This window comes from Homo sapiens, chromosome 19 (assembly GCF_000001405.40).
Source record: "Homo sapiens chromosome 19, GRCh38.p14 Primary Assembly".
Classification (NCBI taxonomy): Eukaryota; Metazoa; Chordata; class Mammalia; order Primates; family Hominidae; genus Homo; species Homo sapiens.
The window spans coordinates 11,623,376-11,643,412 of NC_000019.10; the positions used below are offsets into that span (position 1 = coordinate 11,623,376).

General features: G+C 46.9%; 2 annotated features.

Annotated features, from left to right (window-relative positions):
- Window positions 263-763: an enhancer, noted in NCBI's record as "H3K4me1 hESC enhancer chr19:11734453-11734953 (GRCh37/hg19 assembly coordinates)". NCBI's record gives its function as "activates a minimal SCP1, AML or CMV promoter by ChIP-STARR-seq in naive H9 embryonic stem cells {active_cell/tissue: H9 hESC(naive)}" and the evidence as "EXISTENCE:reporter gene assay evidence [ECO:0000049][PMID:30033119]".
- Window positions 16,297-16,386: a silencer, noted in NCBI's record as "silent region_10125". NCBI's record gives its function as "represses an Ori minimal core promoter by ATAC-STARR-seq in GM12878 lymphoblastoid cells {active_cell/tissue: GM12878}" and the evidence as "EXISTENCE:reporter gene assay evidence [ECO:0000049][PMID:35858748]".

Genomic DNA, 20,037 nt, shown 5'->3' on the forward strand with positions numbered 1-20,037 from the left:
ATCCTGGATTATCAAAGTTTTCATTTGTAAGTCTCCTATCCCATGCTGTAAGTCTCGACCCCATAAATTGATGGCTATATTTGCAACATAAGGCTGCAAAGTCCAGAGCAAGCTTAAAGTTGTAAAAGTTCTTTAATAAATAAACAGAGTAACCTGATAGGACGGGCGCGGTGGCCCACGCCTGTAATCCCAGCACTTTGGGAGGCCGAGGCGAGCGGATCACGAGGTCAGGAGATCCAGACCATCCTGGCTAACACAGCGAAACCCCGTCTCTACTAAAAATACAAAAAATTAGCCGGGCGCGGTGGCAGGTGCCTGTAGTCCCAGCTACTCGGGAGGCTGAGGCAGGAGAATGGCGTGAACCCGGGAGGCGGAGCTTGCAGTGAGTGGAGATCGCACCACTGCACTCCAGACTGAGCGACAGAGCGAGCCTCCGTCTCAAAAATAAATAAATAAATAAATAAACAGAGTAACCTTAGCTCTCTGAGTGCTAGTAAACTCAGATCGAGTGATTGAATTATGTGGTCTCTACTAGCCTGCTGCTTTTCCATGTTTACCAGACCCATCAGTAAACCGTGTTAAAGCCTTAGGTATGGGGGAGTGAAATACCGCTTCGAATTGCCTTTTACTTAAACGAATCCTGATGATATGAGGGTCATAACTTAGCATTTGGACTGCATTAATCATTAAGATTGCTAGCTGAAATAGTAATAAGTTTAAAAAGAAAATCTGAACGCGTCTCTAGAAGCAGAGACTTAAATGATATACTTTAACCATGTGCTTAAAACCACGGGCGGAATAGCTTAAATCTTGTAATTGAGTTTTTGGGCTGACCAAGTTTATGGACTTTAATCTGGCAAACAGTCTTGAAAACAGTGACTCACTGGCTGGGGAACTCAATTTAGGACTCTTTTAGCAAGTACAAATCACACTATCTGTAATCAGTGGGTAAGACAGTCATTCATGCATAAGTTTTCACTACACTTACAACTTTTCTTCACTTTCTGAGAAGGACACAACATTTTTACCTTCTAATTTGACAAATATCATTTAATTAGGTTTAAAGTTCTCCTTTAAAGGGTAATGTGTGGTTTTACATGCCTAGCTTTTAATTACTCATTAATGAATTCGTGGGCCCTCTGTAATCTCTTTCCCTTCAGAGGTTACTGTTTTACTTAAATTGAATTTGGAAAGCTACCTTAGGGGTAGGAGAGAGATAACAGTGGCCATTATTAGAAAAGAGGTTTTTCAAATTCTTACATTTTACTTAAATCTTAGCAGAGAATCATAGTCTGGGACGTACGTAACACATGAACTTTTGCTATGGGCTGCTCACAGAGCCAGAGGGCTGCGGTGCAGGTCCTTGGCGGCGGCCGCATTGTACTTGCTCAGGTTTTGCCTGTGTCTGCGCCGCTCCCTCCCTCCTTTGCCGGGGGTGGGGCATGCTGCCAGCCTGGGCGGACCTTGTGGGCTTGGTCGCTGCCAGCTTTTCTGCTGCTGAACCTTCTATTCCGCCCACCGCTTGCTTGGTCGCGCGGTTTCGGCTTCTAATGCCTTTTTTCTTTCTTTTTTTTTGAGACGGAGTTTTTGCTCTTGTTGCCCAGGCTGGAGTGCAATGGCGCGATCTCGGCTCACCGCAACCTCCGCCTTCCAAGTTCAAGCGATTCTCCTGCCTCAGCCTCCCGAGTAGCTGGGATTACAGGCACTTGCCACCACGCCCGGCTAATTTTGTATTTTTAGTAGAGACAGGGTTTCTCCATGTTGCTCAGGCTGGTTTCGAACTCCCGACCTCAGGTGATCTGCCCACCTCAGGTGATCTGCCCGCCTCAGCCTCCCAAAGTGCTGGGATTACAGGCATGAGCCACCTCGCCCGGCCTTTCTTATCTTTTTACAGACATACACCTGCTTGCCTTGCCGATTTTGCATTACTGAGCAGGTTAAGAGCTCTCCTTCTAATGCTGCCTGCTCAAGACAGGGACTGATAGCTGTAGCGTATCCTCTGTCCTTTTTCCTATCTATTGGAGGAGGAGGCTTAGGTAAGACCTCTGTTTCCTCTTTGTTATTTTTGGCCCAGTGATATTGGGGCTGAGGGAAGAGAAGGTGATAAGGCAGGTGACGTTTTCTCCTCCTTCCTCTTTTTAGGCTCTTCTGTGTGTAAACTGAGCCAGGACTGCTCTAATTAAAGCCCATAACGTTAAAGATTTTACTGGGACCTGATGCCTTTGCACCTGATGTTGTTCAAGATTTCTCCCCACTCATTCCCAGAGTTCTAAGCCTAGCGTTCCTTCTTCCGGGAACCATGGGCTTATGTACTCCATTATTGACCACACTAGTTTTTAATTCCTTCAACAACTTAAATTCTAGTGGGGTGTGTTCATGAATAAACTGCTGTGGATTATTTGAATCGGGCCTTACGGAAATAGGAAAAGTGCAAGGTCCTAAGGGCTCTCCAGCTATGGCAGCAGAGCATAAAGTTGTTTGTTTTGGGGTCTCTATTTCTGCTACTGAAGGAGGCAGTACAGATGTTTCTGCGATTGGAGGAGGCGGTATAGGCCAATTTTTATCCTCCCTCACCTGTTTTTTATTTTCAGTTGGCGCTGTGGGTGGGACAACAGATTCTTTCAGATTTTTAGACTCAGCCTGCTGTCCCGCAGAATAATAAGGAGCTAATGGCAGAAGTACAGTATGAACTAAACTCCAAGTGGAGAAAACTGAAGAATCAACTTTAAAACCTTTTTGATGAGCCTGTTTTAATCCTTCTCCTGCTCTGTCCCAATTTTCCGCATCAAGAGTGCCTGCCTGTGGAAACCATGGGTGATGCGTGAATAACCATTTGTGGCTTCTGCAGGAGGTTAGTTAGTGCCTGCGAATTAACCTGAGCTCCAGACTGTCTCAACAGAAACTTAAGCAAGTGCACATAATGTTTTTCTTCAGTAGACAAATTCTTCCCCTTGTTAACCTGATTCAGAAAACTTCCCCTTCCCAGTACTTCTTTAAAGCACTGCCCCCAGTACTTCTTTAGGGCACTGACCTTACATACGCTATCGGCAGACTCATCCCGGAGTCCCCGTGCGTCTTGTCAATTTCAGTTCCTCTACTCCAGCAGACCTTCTTCGTTCACGTCCTCATAGTCCCGTGTTTGGACTGCCGCCTGTTCGAGTGCCACTTATAGAGCTTCCGATCCTGTCGCTGTTTGGGGTGCCACTGTGTAACCTGCACGGACCTAGGGGGACTGAACAAAGGGGGGCGAACGTGGGAATAAAAGACAAGAGACAAAAGAGTATATTTGGAAGAAGGGATGGGGGCAGCACCTTGCCTCTAGTGGACAAGGGCCCCGAGCTTTACACAGTCCTCCGTATTTATTAGGCCAAAGGGATAGTGAGAAAAGAGGGAGTGATTGTCGGGTAATTGTCAGTTGGCCGTTTGGTTCTGTTTGGTTCACAGCAGGCTTGTGAGACTGCATCCTTTGGACAATAGGCACTAATTTTCTCAGTAGATAACTTCAAGGAGCCCGGTGCCAGGGAGTGATGTCCCTCAGCAAACCTTTTGGTGGCAGGGCAGTGTGAGTTTGCCCACAACCTGCATTCATGATAAACAGTTTGCTGTTTGATCATATAGACTCCTGCGGAATGCTGAGTTTGTCGTGTCCCAGCGGCCTTTGGCTCCCTGCACTGACCATCATGGAGAAACCCCGCCTCTACTAAAAATACAAAATTAGCCAGGTGTGGTTGCGCATACCTGTAATCCCCGCTACTTGGGAGGCTGAGACAGGAGAATCGCTTGAACTCTGGAGGTGGAGGTTGCGGTGAGCTGTGATCACGCCATTGCACTCCAGCCTGGGCAAAAGCGAAATTCTGTCTCCAAAAAAAAAAAAAAAAAAAAAAAAAAAAAAGAAAGAAAGAAAGAAAAGAAAAGAAAAAAGAAAAGCAACGCTGCAGTTTGTAAGTTTCAACAATTTAGAATTAAAAGTTATTTTGGCAATCTAGGACTCATTCTTCATTCTGGCTGCAGACAGAGCTATGGATAGGGAATGTCACACATATTTTTAAGGTTATGTTGTCTTTTATGTTAAATGGATAACATTTCCACTTTGCGTTTCCATATGCAATGGAAGGCCAAGGCAGCAGAATCCCTTGAGGCCAAGACTTCAAGACCAGCCGGGCAATATAGTCAGACTGTGTCTCTACAAAATATTTTTTAAATTGTTTATATAATTTATGAGATTCCAGTGTCATGCTGTCAGCTAATATTAGGAAATTAGTAGGTGTGACTATGGTATTCTGGTTATGAGAAATGCTTCAATTTATTTTATTTTATTTTTTTTTTGAGACGGAGTTTCGCTCTTGTTGCCCAGGCTGGAGTGCAGTGGTGTGATCTCAGCTCACTGCAACCTCCGCCTCCTGGGTTCAAACGATTCTCCTGCCACAGCCTCTCAAGTAGCTGGGATTACAGGCATGCGCCACCAGGCGCAGCTAATTTTTGTAGTTTTAGTAGAGACGGGTTTCACCGTGTTGGCCAGGATGATCTCCATCTCTTGACCTCGTGATCCGCTCGCCTCAGCTTCCCAAAGCGCTGGGATTACAGGCATGAGCCACCGCGCCCAGCCTTTTTTTTCTTTTCTTTTCTTTTTTTTTTTTTTTTTGAGACGGAGTCTTGCTCTGTCGCCCAGGCTGGAGTGCAGTGACGCGATATCCGCTTACTGCAAGCTCCGCCTCCCGGGTTCACGCCATTCTCCTGCCTCAGCATCCCGAGTAGCTGGGACTACAGGCGCCCGCCACCACGCCCGGCTAATTTTTTGTATTTTTAGTAGAGACGGGGTTTCACCGTGTTAGCCAGGATGGTCTCGATCTCCAGACCTCGTGATCTGCCCCCCTCGGCCTCCCAAAGTGCTGGGATTACTTACATGCTTGAGCCACCGCGCCCGGCTTTTTTTTTTTTAACAGTCTCGCTCTGTCACCCAGGCTGGAGTGCAGTGGCGTGATTTCGGCTCACTGCAACCTCCGCCTACCAGATTCAAGCGATTCTCGTGCCTCAGTCTCCTGAGTAGCTGGAATTATAGGCGTGTGCCACCACTCCTGACTAATTTTTGAATTTTTGGTAGAGATGAGGTTTCACCATGTTGGCCAGGCTGGTCTCAAATTCCAGACCCCATGTGATCCGCCTGCTGTGGCCTCCCAAAGTGCTGGGATTACAGGTATGAGCCACTGTGCCCAGCCTCAGAAGTGCTTCCGTTCTTGAGATGTGAAAATTGCCTTTTTAGATATACGTTAAAAAAAAAAAAATAGAGATGGAGCCTTAGTATGTTGACCAGGCCGGTCTGGAACTCCTGGCATTAAGCGATCATCCCATCTAGGCCCCCCATAGTGCTAGGATTACAGGCATGAGTAACCACACCTGAGATGTTTTATATTTGCAGTTTTTAATAAAGCAAAGTCAAAAAGAACAATTTTTAGGATAAATGACCTTAGGTTGAAAACATTTTTATTTTCAAGGAAAAATTTGTGAATTCATTCCTGTACCAAAAAATTACATCCAGTTCATTTACTACAGCATGAAATTTTATTGAAAAGAACTTAATAATTTCAAATGTGAGCAGAGGTTATTTTATTCTTTCCTTTCACTTACTGTCTGTCTCCCTGAGTTTCTTTCTTTTTTTTTTTTTTTTTTTTGAGACAGAGTTTCACTCTTGTTGCCCAGGTTGGAGTACAATGGCGTGATCTTGGCTGACTGCAGTCTCTGCCTCCTGGGTTCAAGCAATTTTCCTGCCTCAGCCTCCCGAGTAGCTGGGATTACAGGCATGCACCACCATGCCCGGCTAATTTTGTATTTTTAGTAGAGACGGGGTTTCTCCATATTGAGGCTGGTCTCGAACTCCTGACCTCAGGTGATCCTCCCGCCTCAGCCTCCCAAAGTGCTGGGATTACAGGCGTGAGCCATCACACCTGGCTGGATCTTTTACCTACCATATAGGTAAAACCATGGTCAAAAGTGATACAGAAGCAGGAGGAGCAAGATGGCCAAATAGAACCCTCCAGTGATTGTTCCCCCAACAAGAACACCAAATTGAACAGCTATCCACACAAAAAGTAACTTAGGCTGGGCGCAGTGGCTCACACCGGTAATCCCAGCAGTTTGGGAGGCTGAGGCAGGCAAATCACGAGGTCAGGAGTTCAAGACCAGCTTGGCCAATATGGTGAAACACCGTCTCTAGTAAAAAATACAAAATTAGCTGGGCATGGTGGTGTGCACCTGTAATCCCAGCTACTCAGGAGGCTGAGGCAGGAGGATCGCTTGAACCCGGGAGGTGGAGGTTGCAGTGAGCCGAGATCGTGCCACTGCACTCCAGCCTGGGTGACAGAGTGAGACTCTGTATCAAAAAAGAGAAGAAGAAGGAGACGGAGAAGGAGAAGAAGAAGAAGAAGAAAGGAGAAGAAAGAGGAGAAGAAGAAGAAGAACCAAACATCAGCTGTGCAATCACAGTGCCTGGTCTTATATTAAGTAAAGAGGCACGGAAGAGGGTGGGAAAGCAGCCTTGAATTGCCTATGCCACCACTTTCCCATCCTCTCGCAGAGGCCAAATGGCATAGAGAGTGAATCTGTAAGCTTGGGAGAGGGAGAGCGCAGTGATTGTGGCACTTTGCATTGGAACTCAGTGCTGCCCTGTCATTAGCAGAAAGCAATATGGGGCAGAACTCAGCCAGTGCCCATGGAGGGAGCGTTTAGATCAGCCTTAGCCAGAGTTGAATTGTCCATCCCAATTGCCAGAACCTGAGTTCTGGCAAGCCCTGTCACCGTGGGCTAAAATGTTCTGGTGTCCTGAAGAAACTTGAAAGGTAGTCAGGATCACAAGGACTGCAATTCCTGTGTAAGTCTTGGTGTTGGGTGGGCTTGGACCCAGCGGACTTGGTGTGCACATGACCTAGTGAGACACTAGCTGGGGTGGCAAAGGGAATACTTGTGCCACCACTCTCCTGACCCCAGGCAGTACAGCCAGCAGCTCAGGGAGAGACTACTTCCTTCTACTTGAGAAGAAAGGGGAGAGTAAAGAGGACTTATATTGCAACTTGGATGCAAGCTCAGCAACAGTATAATAGGGCACCAGGCAGAGGCGTGAGGCCTCTATTCCAGGCCCTAGCTCCTGGACATTTCTAGATACACCCTGGGCCAGAAGGGAACCTACTGCCTTGAAAAGAAGGACCCAGTCCTGGCAGAATTCATCACCTTCTGAACCCCTGGGCCCTGAGTGATCAGCAGGGGTAGCCAGGCTGTACTTGTATGGGCCTTGGGTAAGACTTAGAGCTGTACTGGCTTCAGGTGTGACCCAGCACCTTTCTACCTGTGGTGGCTATGGGGAGAGATTCCTGCTGCTGGAGGAAAGGAGAGGGAAGAATAGGCCAGGCGCAGTAGCTCATGCCTGTAATCCCAGCACTTTCAGAGGCTGAGCCCAGGAGTTCAAGACAACATGAAAAAATCCCATCTCTACAAAAAATACAAAAGATTAGCCAGGTGTGGTGGTATGCACCTGTAGTCCCAGCTACTTGGGAGGCTGAGGTGGGAGAATCACTTGAGCCCAGGAGGTCAGGGATGCAGTGAGTCAAGATGGCACCACTGCACTCCAGCCTGAGAGACAGAGCAAACCCCTGTCTCAGAAAAAAAAACAAAAAAAAATTTCTGTACAGCAAAAGAAACAGTCACAGTCAACAAAGTGAAGAGACAACCCACAAAATGGGAGAAAACATTTGCAAACAATCCATCTGACAAGGGATTAATAAACAATATAGAGGGAGCTCAAATACCTCAATAGGAAAAAAAGTCTAATAATTCAAATTAAAAATGGGCAAAATATCTGAATAGACATTTCTCAAAAAAAGACATAAAAATGAAAATCAGACATATGAAAAGGTGCTCCACATCATCAGAGAAGTGAAAAGACAACAGCAATACCACATCATCTCACCGCAATTAAAATGGCTTTTATCCCAAAGAGAGGTAATAACAAATGATGGCAAGGATGTGAAAAAAAGAGACCCTTGTACACTGTTGGTGGAAATGTAAAATACTAAGCCACTGTGGAGAACAGTTTGGAGGCTCCTCAAAAATCTGGAATTAGAACTACCCTATGATCCAGCAATCACATTGCTAGGTGTATTCCAAAAAGAAAGGAAATCAGCATATCGAAGAGCTTTCTGCACTCTGATGTTTATTGCAGCACTATTCACAATAGCCAAGATTCAGAAGCAGCCTAAATGTTCATCAAAAGATGAATCGATAAAGAAAATGTGATACATATTGGCTGGGTACGGTGGCTTACACCTGTAATCCCAGCACTTTGGGAGGCCGAGGCAGGCGGATCACGAGGTCAGGAGATCGAGACCATCCTGGCTAACATGGTGAAACCCCGTCTCTACTGAACATACAAAAAAAATTAGCCGGGCGTGGTGGAGGGCACCTGCAGTCCCAGCTACTCAGGAGGCTGAGGCAGGAGAATGGCGTGAACCCAGGAGCCGGAGCTTGCAGTAAGCCGAGATCGCACCACTGCACTCCAGCCTGGGTGACAGAGTGAGACTCCATCTCAAAATAGAAAAGAAAAGAAATGAAAAGAAAATGTGGTACATATACATAGTGGAGTACTATTCAGCCATGAAAAAGACTGAGATCCTGTCATGTGCGACATCATGGATGGAACTGGAAGTCATTATGTTAAGTGAAATAAACCAGGCACGGAAAGGCAAACTTCACATGCTCTCACTAATTTCTGGGAGCTAAAAATAAAACAATTGAACTCATGGAGATAAAGAGCAGAAGAATGGTTACCAGAGGCTAGGAAGGGTAGTGGAGGAGGCAGGAAAATAGGGGTGGTTAATGGGTAGAAAATTATACTTAGAATGAATAAAATCTAGTATTTGATAGCACACAGGGTGACTACAGTCAACAATAATTTATTTTACATTTAAAAATAAAAGAGTATAATTGGATTGTTTGTAACACAAGGAAACAATAAATGCTTGAGGTGATGAATACCTGATTTATCCTGATGTGATTTGATATGGCTTGGCTGTGTCCCCACCCAAATCTCAACTTGAATTCTGTCTTCCAGAATTCCCAGGTGTTATGGGAGGGACCCAGGGGGAGGTAATTGAATCATGGGGGCTGGTCTTTCCCATGCTATTCTCACAATAGTGACTAAGTCTCACAAGATCTGATGGATTTATCTGGGGTTTCCGCTTTTGTTTCCTCCTCATTTTCTCTTGCCACCACCATGTAAGAAGTGCCTTTTGCCTCCCACCATGATTCTGAGGCCTCCCCAGCCATGTGGAACTGTAAGCCCAATTACACTTCTTTTTCTTTCCAGTTTTGGGTATGTCTTTATTAGTAGCTTGCAAATGGACTAATACAGTAAATTGGTACCAGCAGTGGGTTGTTGCTGAAAAGATATCCAAAAATGTGGAAGTGACTTTGGAACTGGGTAACAGGCAGAGGTTGGAACAGTTTGGAAAGCTCAGAAGACAGAAGATGTGGGAAAGTTTGGAACCTCCTACAGATGTGTTGAATGGCTTTGACAAAAATACTGATAGTGATATGAACAAGAAGATCCAGGCTGAGGTGGTCTCAGATGGAGATGAGGAACTTGTTGGGAACTGGAGCAAAGGTGACTCTTATTATGTTTTAGCAGAGACTGGTGGCATTTTGCCCCTGCCCTAGAGATTTGTGGAACTTTGAACTTGAGAGAGATGATTTAGGGTATCTGGAGGAAGAAATTTCTAAGCAGAAAAGCATTCAAGAGGTGACTAGGTGACCTGGGTGCTGTTAAAAGCGTTCGTTTTAAAAGGGAAACAGAACATAAAACTCTGGAAAGTTTGCAGCCTGATGATGCGGTAGAAAAGAAAAACCCATTTTTAAAGGAGAAATTCAAGCTGGCTGCAGAAATTTGCCTAAGTAGCAAGGAGCCAAATGTTAATCCCCAAGACCATGGGGAAAATGTCTCCAGGCCACATCAGACACGTTTACACAGCCCTTCCCATCACAGGCCCGGAGGCCCAGGAGGAAAAAGTGGTTTCACGGGCCAGGCCCAGGGTCCCCGTGCTGTGTGCAATGTAGGGACTTGGTGCCCTGTGTCCCAGCCACTCCAGCCGTGACTGAAAGGGGCGAACGTACAGCTTGGGCTGTGGCTTCAAAGGGTTGAAGCCCCAAGCCTTGGCAGCTTCCGCATGGTGTTGAGCCTGCAGGTACAAAGAAGTCATGAACTGAGGTTTGGGAACCTCCACCTAGATTTCAGAAGATGTATGGAAACACTTGGATGTCCAGGCAAAAGTTTACTGCAGAGGTGGGGTGCTCATGGAGAACCTCTGCTAGGGCAGTGCAGAAGGGAAATGTGGGGTCAGAGCCCCCCCTACAGAGTCTTTACTGGGGGCACTGCCTAGTGGAGCTGTGAGAAGAGGGCTACCATCCTCCAGACCCCAGAATGGTCGATCCACTGACAGCTTGCACTGTGCACCTGGAAAAGCTGCAGACACTCAACACCAGCCCGTGAAAGCAGCTGGGAGGGAGGCTGTACCTGCAAAGCCACAGGGGCAGAGCTGCCCAAGACCATGGGAACCCACCTCTTGCATCAGTGTGACCTGGATGTGAGACCTGGAGTCAAAGGAGATCATTTTGGAGCTTTAAAATTTGAGTGCCCTGCTGGATTTCAGACTTGCATGGGCCCTGTAACTCCTTTGTTTTGGCCAATTTCTCCCCTTTGGAATGGCTGTATTTACCCAATACCTGTACCCCCATTGTATCTAGGAAGCAACTAGCTTGCCTTTGATTTTACAGGCTCATAGGCGGGAGGGACTTGCCTTGTCTCAGATGAGACTTTGGACTGTGGACTTTGGGATTAATGCTGAAATGTGTTAAGACTTTGGGGTACTGTTGGGAAAGCATGATTGATTTTGAAATGTGAGGACATGAGATTTGGAGGGGTCAGGGGTAGAATGATATGGTTTGGCTGTGTCCACACCCAGATCTCAGCTTGAATTATATCTCCCAGAATTCCCACATGTTGTGGGAGGAATCCAGAGGTAGTAATTGAATCATGGGGGATGGTCTTTCCCCTGCTGTTCTCATAGTAGTGAGATGGGTTTATCAGGGATTTCTGCTTTTCCTTTTTCCTCATTTTCTCTTGCCGCTGCCATGTAAGAAGTGTCTTTTGCCTCCCGCCATGATTCTGAGGCCTCCCCAGCCATGTGAAACTGTAAGTCCAATTAAATATCTTTTTCTTTTTTTCTTTTCTTTTCTTTTCTTTCTTTTTTTTTTTTTTTGAGATGCAGTCTTGCTCTGTCACCCAGGCTGGAGTGCAGTGGCATGATGTCAGCTCACTGCAACCTCCGCCTCCCGGGTTCAAGCAATTCTTCTGCCTCAGCCTCCTGAGTAGCTGGGACTATAGGCTTGCACCACCATGCCTGGCTAATTTTTGTATTTTTAGTAGAGACGGGGTTTCACCATCTTGGCCAGGCTGGTCTCGAACTCCTGACCTCATGATCTGCCCACCTCAGCCTCCCAAAGCGTTGGGATTACAGACGTGAGCCACCGTGCCCGACCAACATCTTTTTCTTCCCAGCCTCAGGTATGTCTTTATCAGCAGTGTGAAAACGGACTAATACATGGTTATTACACATTGTATGCCTGTATTAAAATATCTCTTGTACCCAATAAATATATACACCTACTATGTACCCCCCCACACACAAAAGATAGCGTTCTTTGTGTTTTTAAATAGGTTTTGCCTTAAAGTCTAGTCAAGTATGATAATGGCATATCCACTCTTGTTCTCTTTTGGTTACTATTTGCGTGGAATACCTTTTTACCTCTGTATTAGGCTTTTCTTGCTTTGCCATAAAAATACCTGAGGCTGGATAATTGATAAAGAAATGTTTTATCAACTCATGTTTCTGCAAGCTTTATAGGAAGCATGGTGCTGGCATCTGCTCAGGTTCTGGGGAGGCCTCAGAGTTTTTACTTTTGGTGGAGGGTGAAGCCGGAGCAGGCCTCTCACGTGGCAAAATAGGAACGAGAGAGAGAGGTAGAGGGGAGGTGCCACACACTTTCAAACCACCAGACCTTGTGCGAACTCAGAAGAAGAGCTCACCTATCACTAAGGGGATGGCCCAAGCCATTCATTAGAGATCTGTCCCCATGATCCAAACACCTCCCACCAGGCCCTGCTTCCAACCTTGGGGATTGCAATTCAATGTGAGATTTTGCGGGGATGTACATTTAAAGTATATCATCTTCCATTCCATTTCGAGTATTTTTTGTCTTGGGGTATAAAATGAGTGTCTTGGTCATGCATTATGGCTCATGCCTGTAATCCCAGCATTTTTATTTTTTTAAGACGGAGTCTCGGCCGGGCGTGGTGGCTCAAGCCTGTAATCCCAGCACTTTGGGAGGCCGAGGCGGGCGGATCATGAGGTCAGAAGTTCAAGGCCGGCCTGACCAACATAGTGAAACCCTGTCTCTACTAAAAATACAAAAAATTAGCCGGGTGTGGTGGTGTGCACCTGTAATCCCAGCTACTCAGGAGGCTGAGGCAGGAGAATCGTGTGAACCCGGGATGCAGAAGTTGCAGTGAGCCGAGATTGTGACATTGCACTCCAGCCTGGGCGACAGTGGGAGACACTGTCTCAAAAAAAAAAAAAAAAAAAGATGGAGTCTCACTCTCGCCAGGCTGGAGTGCAGTGGCGTGATCTTGGCTCACAGCAACATCCGCCTCCCAGGTTCAAGTGATTCTCCTGCCTCAGCCTCCTGAGTAGCTGGGATTACAGGCTCGCGCCACCACACCCAGCTAATTTTTGTATTTTTAGTAGAGATAGGGTTTCACCATGTTGGTCAAGATGGCCTCGATCTCTTGACCTCGTGATCCACACGCCTCAGCCTCCCAAAGTGCTGGGATTACAGGCGTGAGCCACCGTGCCCGGCCATTCCTAGCATTTCTGGAGACTGAGGTGGGAAGACTGCTGGAGGCCAAGACTTCAAGTTCAGCGTGGGCAACATGGTGAGATCTTGTGTTGAGAAGAAATTTTTTAAAATTTACACAATTAATGACATTTTAATGTCATTCTATCAATCAATATTAGGTAAGTATTAGGTGTGACTGATATTCTGGATATGTATAAAATTAACTCAATATTTGAGATATGAAAGCTGCCAGGGCCAGGCGTGGTGGCTCACACCTGCAATCCCAGCACTTTGGGAGGCTGAGGCAGGCGGATCACCTGAGGTTAGGAGTTTGAGACCAGCCTGGCCAACATGGTGAAATCCCATCTCTACTAAAGATACAAAAAATTAGCCCAGCATGGTAGCATGCACCTGTAATCCCAGCTACTGGGGAGGCTGAGGCAGGAGAATCGCTTGAACCCAGGAGGTGGAGGTTGCAGTGAGCTGATATCGTGCCACTGCACTCCAGCCTGGGCAACAGAGTGAGACTCTGTCTCAAAAAAAAGAAAAGAAAACTGCCTTTTATTTTTAATTTTTTGTATTTTTATTTTTGAGACAGAATCTCACTCTGTCACCCAGGCTGGAATGCAGTGGCTCAATCACTCATCACTGCAACCCCAACTGATTCTGGGCTCAAGTGATTCTCCTGCCTCAACCACCCTAGTAGCTGGGACTATAGGCACATGCCACTACGCCTGGCTATTATTTAACTTAATTTTTTTTGGGGGGGGATGGAGTCTTGCTCTGTCACCTAGGCTGGAGTGCAGAGGCGTGAACTTGGCTCACTGCAACCTCTGCCTCCTGGGTTCAAGCAATTCTCCTGCCTCAGCCTCCCAAGTAGCTGGAATAACAGGTGGCCACCACCATGCCTGGCTAATTTTTGTTTTGTATTTTTAGTAGAGATGGAGTTTCACCATGTTGGCCAGACTGGTCTCAAACTCCTGACTTCAGGTATCCACCCACCTCAACCGCCCAAAGTGCTGGGATTACAGGCATGTGTCACCGCACCTGGCCCCGCCAATGTTTTTAACTTAAATTTTCATACTCATGCACGTAACTCCACATTCTCCTCTATTCACAGGCCCTGATAATCTCTATTCTACTTTATCCCTTTATGAATTTGACTATTCTAGGCACCTCATATAAGTGAAAGTATACAATATTTATTCTGGTGTCTCTGGCTTATTTCACTTAGCATAATGTTTTCAAGTTGCATGCATGTGTTAACGTGTCAGTAATTCATTGCTTTTTTGTGCCTGAAAATATTCTATTGTAGGGATAAATCACCCTTTGCTCATCCATTTGTTTGTTGATAAACATGTGGGTTTTTTCCACAGTAATATTCTGAATAAGGCTGCTATGAAATTGGTGTACATGTGTCTCTGTGTGTTGTGCTTTTGATTTTTTAGGATATATACCTAGGAGTTGAATAGTCACAGGGGAATTCTAAATTCACCTTTTTAAGGAACAGCCATACTGTTTTACACAGTGGCTGCAATGTTTTACATTCTCTACATCAGTGCACAAGGATTCCCGTTTCTCCATGTCCTCATCCACACTTATTATAATTTTTTTTTTTTTTTTTGAGACGGAGTCTCACTCTGTCGCCCAGGCTGGAGTGCAGTGGCACAATCACAGCTCACTGCAGCCTTGACTTCCCTGGCTCAAGTGATCCTCCCACTTGAGGATCACTGGGACCATAGGTGCTAAGATGGGACTACCGGTCTGACCCCTGCTTTCCATCGTGGCCTGAACTAGATTTCTAGATTTTCAGGTTTACTTTGGGATGCCCTTAGCCGAGAGGGGAATCCTTCAGTTTGGGAGAGAGGGGTGGGCTTTGAATTTTATTTTTGGTTTACACATAGAATAGCTGGAGTCGGAGTGTGATTTGATATATGTAGAAAATCTGTTAAGGTCAAGACCCATTGGATTACCTTATGGAGAAAAGGTTTATGAATTTGACAATTTATGTCAGTCAGTACCTTAAACTGACTCCAGGTGAGTTTCCTGCTGGTGAAAATGAAGGTCTGGGGCTGGGCGCGGTGTCCTTGTCTCTACAAAAATACCAACATTAGCCAGGCATGATGGCGGGTGTCTGTAATCCCAGCTACTCTGGAGGCTGAGGCGGGAGAATCCCTTGAACTCGGAAGGCGGAGGTTGCAGTGAGCGGAGATCGCGCTATCGCACCCCAGCCTGGGCGACAGAGCGAGACTCTGTCTCAAAAAAAAAAAAAAAAAAAAAAAAAGAGAGAATATGATGAAGGTCTGGAAGGAGAGAGTGTTGCCACACTATGCAGACAGGACAGGAAGGCATGTTGAGAGCCTAGAGTTAAATCCTTCAGTGTTCAGGCCTCATCACCAGGTTCTGATCGGTTCTGGGGCTCTGTTTCAGCAGTCAGAACCTGGCTCCCAAGAATCTGTTTAACCTCCTGAATAGGGGGTTTCCTGCTGAACAGTGGCTGAAAAACTGCTTCTCTGAGCTAGTTCATGTTTTTGCTTTTCTTCTCTTTTGATTCCTTCATAGAATATTGCTGCCATATAATTCCAGTTTTTCCACACATTTAACAATTTTATTCCATTGTTGCTGTGTTTTTATTTTCTTGGTGAAAACGAGTAGACTCCAGGGCGCGGTAGCTCACGCCTGTAATCCCAGCACTTTGGGAGGCCGAGGGGGGCGGATCACGAGTCAGGAGATTGAGACCATCCTGGCCAACATGGTGAAACCCCGCCTCTACTAAAAATACAAAAATTAGCTGGGGGTGGTGGCGCGTGCCTGTAATCCCAGCTACTCAGGAGGCTGAGGCACGAGAATCGCTTGAACCCAGAAGGCGGAGGTTGCAGGGAGCCGAGATCGCGCCACTGCACTTCAGCCTGGCGACAGAGCGAGACTCCGTCAAAAAATAAAATAAAAAATAAAAAAATAAGACTGAGAGATCAGGTGGGAGAAAGGCTTGGTCATGCAGCCAGCAGCTTCATCCCAAATTCCTGATCCCTGGAGGACATCAGACCCCCTCTCCTACTGCAGTGTGGCCTGTGTGGCCTCGGCTCCCCTTCTGCTCCGAGGCCAGGGGATGTCTCCACTGGACAGTGAGTCTGGGATTCCCTGCACACAGTTGTGACCCCCCAGTCCCGGAGGAAGAAGCAGGAAGGGCTCGCAGACTATTGGCAGGAATTCTTCTTAAATGCAGATATTCCCCGGGAGGGGTCAGGTCACTGCCCAGGGAGGAACCCCCCCTCCCCCGCCCGCCCCATGCCAAGAGCTGTGTCTGCAACCTGTTCATCTGGCTCCACTCAGCACTGGGAGATCACTTCTTCTGTCGCTCAGTGCCTAGGGGGCGGGACCTGGAGTACTATCCAATCAGAGCCGCTGGGCGGGGCCGTGAGAACTGTCAATCAGGCGTCCAGGAGGCTGGAGGATGCGAGGTTGAAAAAGCCCGCGGCGTCTTCTCTGTCACCCGCGCTCGGCTCCCTGCTCGGTCGGGCTGGAACCTGTACTGGCAGCCGGAGGTGTAGGTAGGAACCGGAATACCTCGGAAGCCGGGAAATGGTGAGTGTCCGAGGCCGGGGTTCCCGAGACAGGGTACAGCTGGTTGTAACCGACCGGAACCGGCTGTGGCGGGACCCAGACCTCCTCGCTGTTGTCTCTGGGGTCTGAGGACCCGAGTGCCCTGGCCCAGCTCGGTCCTCGGTCCTCTCGGCCTCAGGGTGGGGCTGGGCCTGCAGCCAGGACTCCGGGCGTCCTGTCCGGTCCCCGCGCGGCAACTGCGGCCCAGGTTCCGGAGTCCTCTCTGGGCAGCTCCGCGTCCGCAGCCCCGCGTCTCCCTAGATTGTGCGGGGACACGGGAGGGTCATGGGGGGAATCCTCCTCGGGTGTGGGGTTCATGTGGAAGGAGCAGCGGTCTGTGGGGTCCCCAGTTCCTCCTTTGTCTCCAAGGGGCTCGAGTTTTTACTGAGATATCCAGATATATGCGAAGCAGGGTCTCAAATCCGCAACTGTGATCCCTGGCCTAGCTTCTCCTAGGGCTGCCAGCAAATCCCTGGATTTCCAGATCCCGCTCCGCGTTTTAGAGCTGGCCTCCTCTTCAGTTCACCACAACAATGTCAACTCTTCGTCCCCCAGGCTTTGTTTCAAACATAGCCATATATATGTGTGTGTGTGTGTATATATATATATGTGTATATATATATATATGTGTATATATGTATATATGTGTGTGTATATATATATATATATATATATATATATTTTTTTTTTTTTTTTTTTTTTTTTTTTTTTTTTGTGACAGAGTCTCGCTGTGTCGCCCAGGCTGGAGTGCAGTGGCGCAATCTCGGCTCACTGAAACCTCCGCTTCCTGGGTTCAAGCGATTCTCCTGTCTCAGACTCCCGAGTAGCTGGGATTACAGGCGCCCGCCACCACGCGCGGCTAATTCATGTATTTTTAGTAGAGACGGGTTTTCACCGTGTTGGCCAGGCTGGTCTCAAACTCCTGACCTCAGGTGATCCACCCTCCTCAGCCACCCAAAGTGCTGGGATTACAGGCATGAGCCACTGCAACCGTCCTCACACGTTTTTCATGTATATATGAATTATATATATATTAAATATATATATATAATTTTTTTTTTTTTGGTGGAGACGGAGCCTCACTCTGTTGCCCAGGCTGGAGTGCAGTGGCACGATCTTGGCTCACTGCAACCTCTACCTCGCGGGTCTCCTGCCTCAGCCTCCCGAGTAGCCGGGACTGCAGGCGCGTGCCACCATGCCCGGCTAATTTTTGTATTTTAGTAGAAACGGGGTTTCACCATGTTGGCCAGGCTGGTCTTGAACTCCTGACCTCAGGTGATCCGCCCGTCTAGGCCTCCCAAAGTGCTGGGATTATAGGTGTGAGCCATGGCGCCTGGCCACACGCAATATTTTAATAGGCTTTTTTTTTTTTAAGAGGGCAAAATATGGCTCTTTTTGTAAAGATTTGTTGTGTGTTTGTGAACATTTCACACTTGAGGAAGCGGAGAAAAAGCACCTGACACTTGCTGTAAACAATCTTTATGCCTCTCCTCCTTTTATCTGCCCGAGGCACGGACACCTTCTGAGAATGTCTTTGGGTTGAGGTTTATCTTTGGAAACTTTACAGGGCGATGTGTCCTCAACTCACCCTCCATCTTATCCTGGTCCTGGGTTTCAGAACTGCCTGGGGCTGACTGAAGATGCCCACAGCTACCATGTTTCTTGGAGGGTGGGTCACTCCTCCCAGAGGACAACCTGAGGCGTGGAGTTGGGGCTTCCCAGGAGAGGAGCTAGGTGCCCTGGGGTGGGAGAAGTCCCCTGGTATTCCCCTCCTTAAAAAGCTAATCCTGGGCCAGGAACAGTCTCTCACACCTGTAATCCCACCATTTTGGGAAGCCTGTAATCCCACCACTTTGGGAAGCCGAGGCGGGTGGACCCCTTGAGTCCAGGAGTTCGAGACCAGCCTAGGCAACATGGCGAAACCCCGTCTCTACTAAAAATACAAAAAAACTAGCCGGGTATGGTGGTGCGTGCCTCTAGTCCCAGCTCCTGGGGAGGCTGAGGTGGGAGGATCACCTGAGCCAGGGAGGTCAAAGCTGCAGTCAGCTGCGATCGCACCACTGCACTCCAGCCTGGGCAACTGGAGTGAGACCCAGTCTCAAAAAAAAGCTCTAATCCCCTGGGACACTCAGCTTTTCTTCCCCAAATCCAGATTCCATTCCTTGGGGACACTTGGCTCATCAGCCAGTTGGATGGTGGTATTGAAGGGACAGGACAGAAATGATTCCTGTTTTCTGGATGCTCTCAGCATAGTTAAGGGAGAAAACTATTCCTAAGGACAGGAAAACCCACCCCACTGAGATGGTGCAAGAACCTGAAAAGCAAAATGCACTTTAGGAACACAGGGGACGCACAATGTGTCGTCTCCTGGGAGGGTGGTCACTGAGCACTTCAGTGAGCAGGATGGGGATGGGGGATGCCCCTGGTGACAGGAGGATACGATGTGACACTTGAGTTAGACTTGTCTGTGTTCTAGGTCCTTACTGTCTCTCTCTGGGCTTGTCACCTTGCAAAGATTGGTTCACCTATTTCAGCTGCAGATTAAATCTCTACTTTTGGAAGCTTTTCAACTATCTTTTGGTTATCAATTTCTAGTTTAATATGATTTGATTGCATACTTTATAGCATTTCTGTTCAATTTGTTAAGGCATATTTTATGCTTCCAGTGTAGTTTACTGTGGTGAATATTTCATGTGAACTTGAGAGGAATGTGTATTCTGCTGGTGTTGAATGAAGGATTCTATAAATACATATTAATTAAATGCAGTTGATTAATTGATACAGTTTGGCTGTGTCCCCACCCAAATCTCATGTTGAATTGTAGTTCCCATAATCCTCACCTGTTGTGGAAGGGACCTGGTGGAGATAATTGAATCATGGGGGTGTTTTTCCCCATCCTGTTCTGGTGATAGTGAGTTAGTTCTCAAGAGATCTGATGGTTTTATAAGGGGCTTCCTTCTTCGCTGGGCACTCGTTCTTCTCCTTCCTGCCACCATGTGAAGAAGGACGTGTTTGCTTTCCCTTCCGCCATGATTGTAAGTTTCCTGAAGCATGTCTTTATTAGCTGAATGAGAACGGACTAATACATTATTGATGCTGTTGAGTTTAGCTATATCATTAGTGATTTTTTTGTTGTATTGACCTATTAATTATGGATAGAGGTGAACTGTTGGCTTCCAACTATAATTTTGGATTTGTATATTTTGTCTTATAGTTTTATGTTTTTGTCTTGTATCTTGATGTTATATTTTATGGGCATACATATAAGTAATAAAGATTATTATACCTTATGTCTTTTTTTTTTGAGACAGGGTCCCCATCTGTCTCCCAGGCTGGAGTGCAGTGGCACAATCACAGCTCACTGCAGCTTTGACCTCCCAGTGCCCAGGCTCAAGTGATCCTTCAGCCTCAGCCTCCTGAGTAGCTGGTACTACAGGCATGTACCACGATGCCTAGCTAATTTTTGTTTTTTTTTGTTTTTTTTTTGTAGAGACAAGG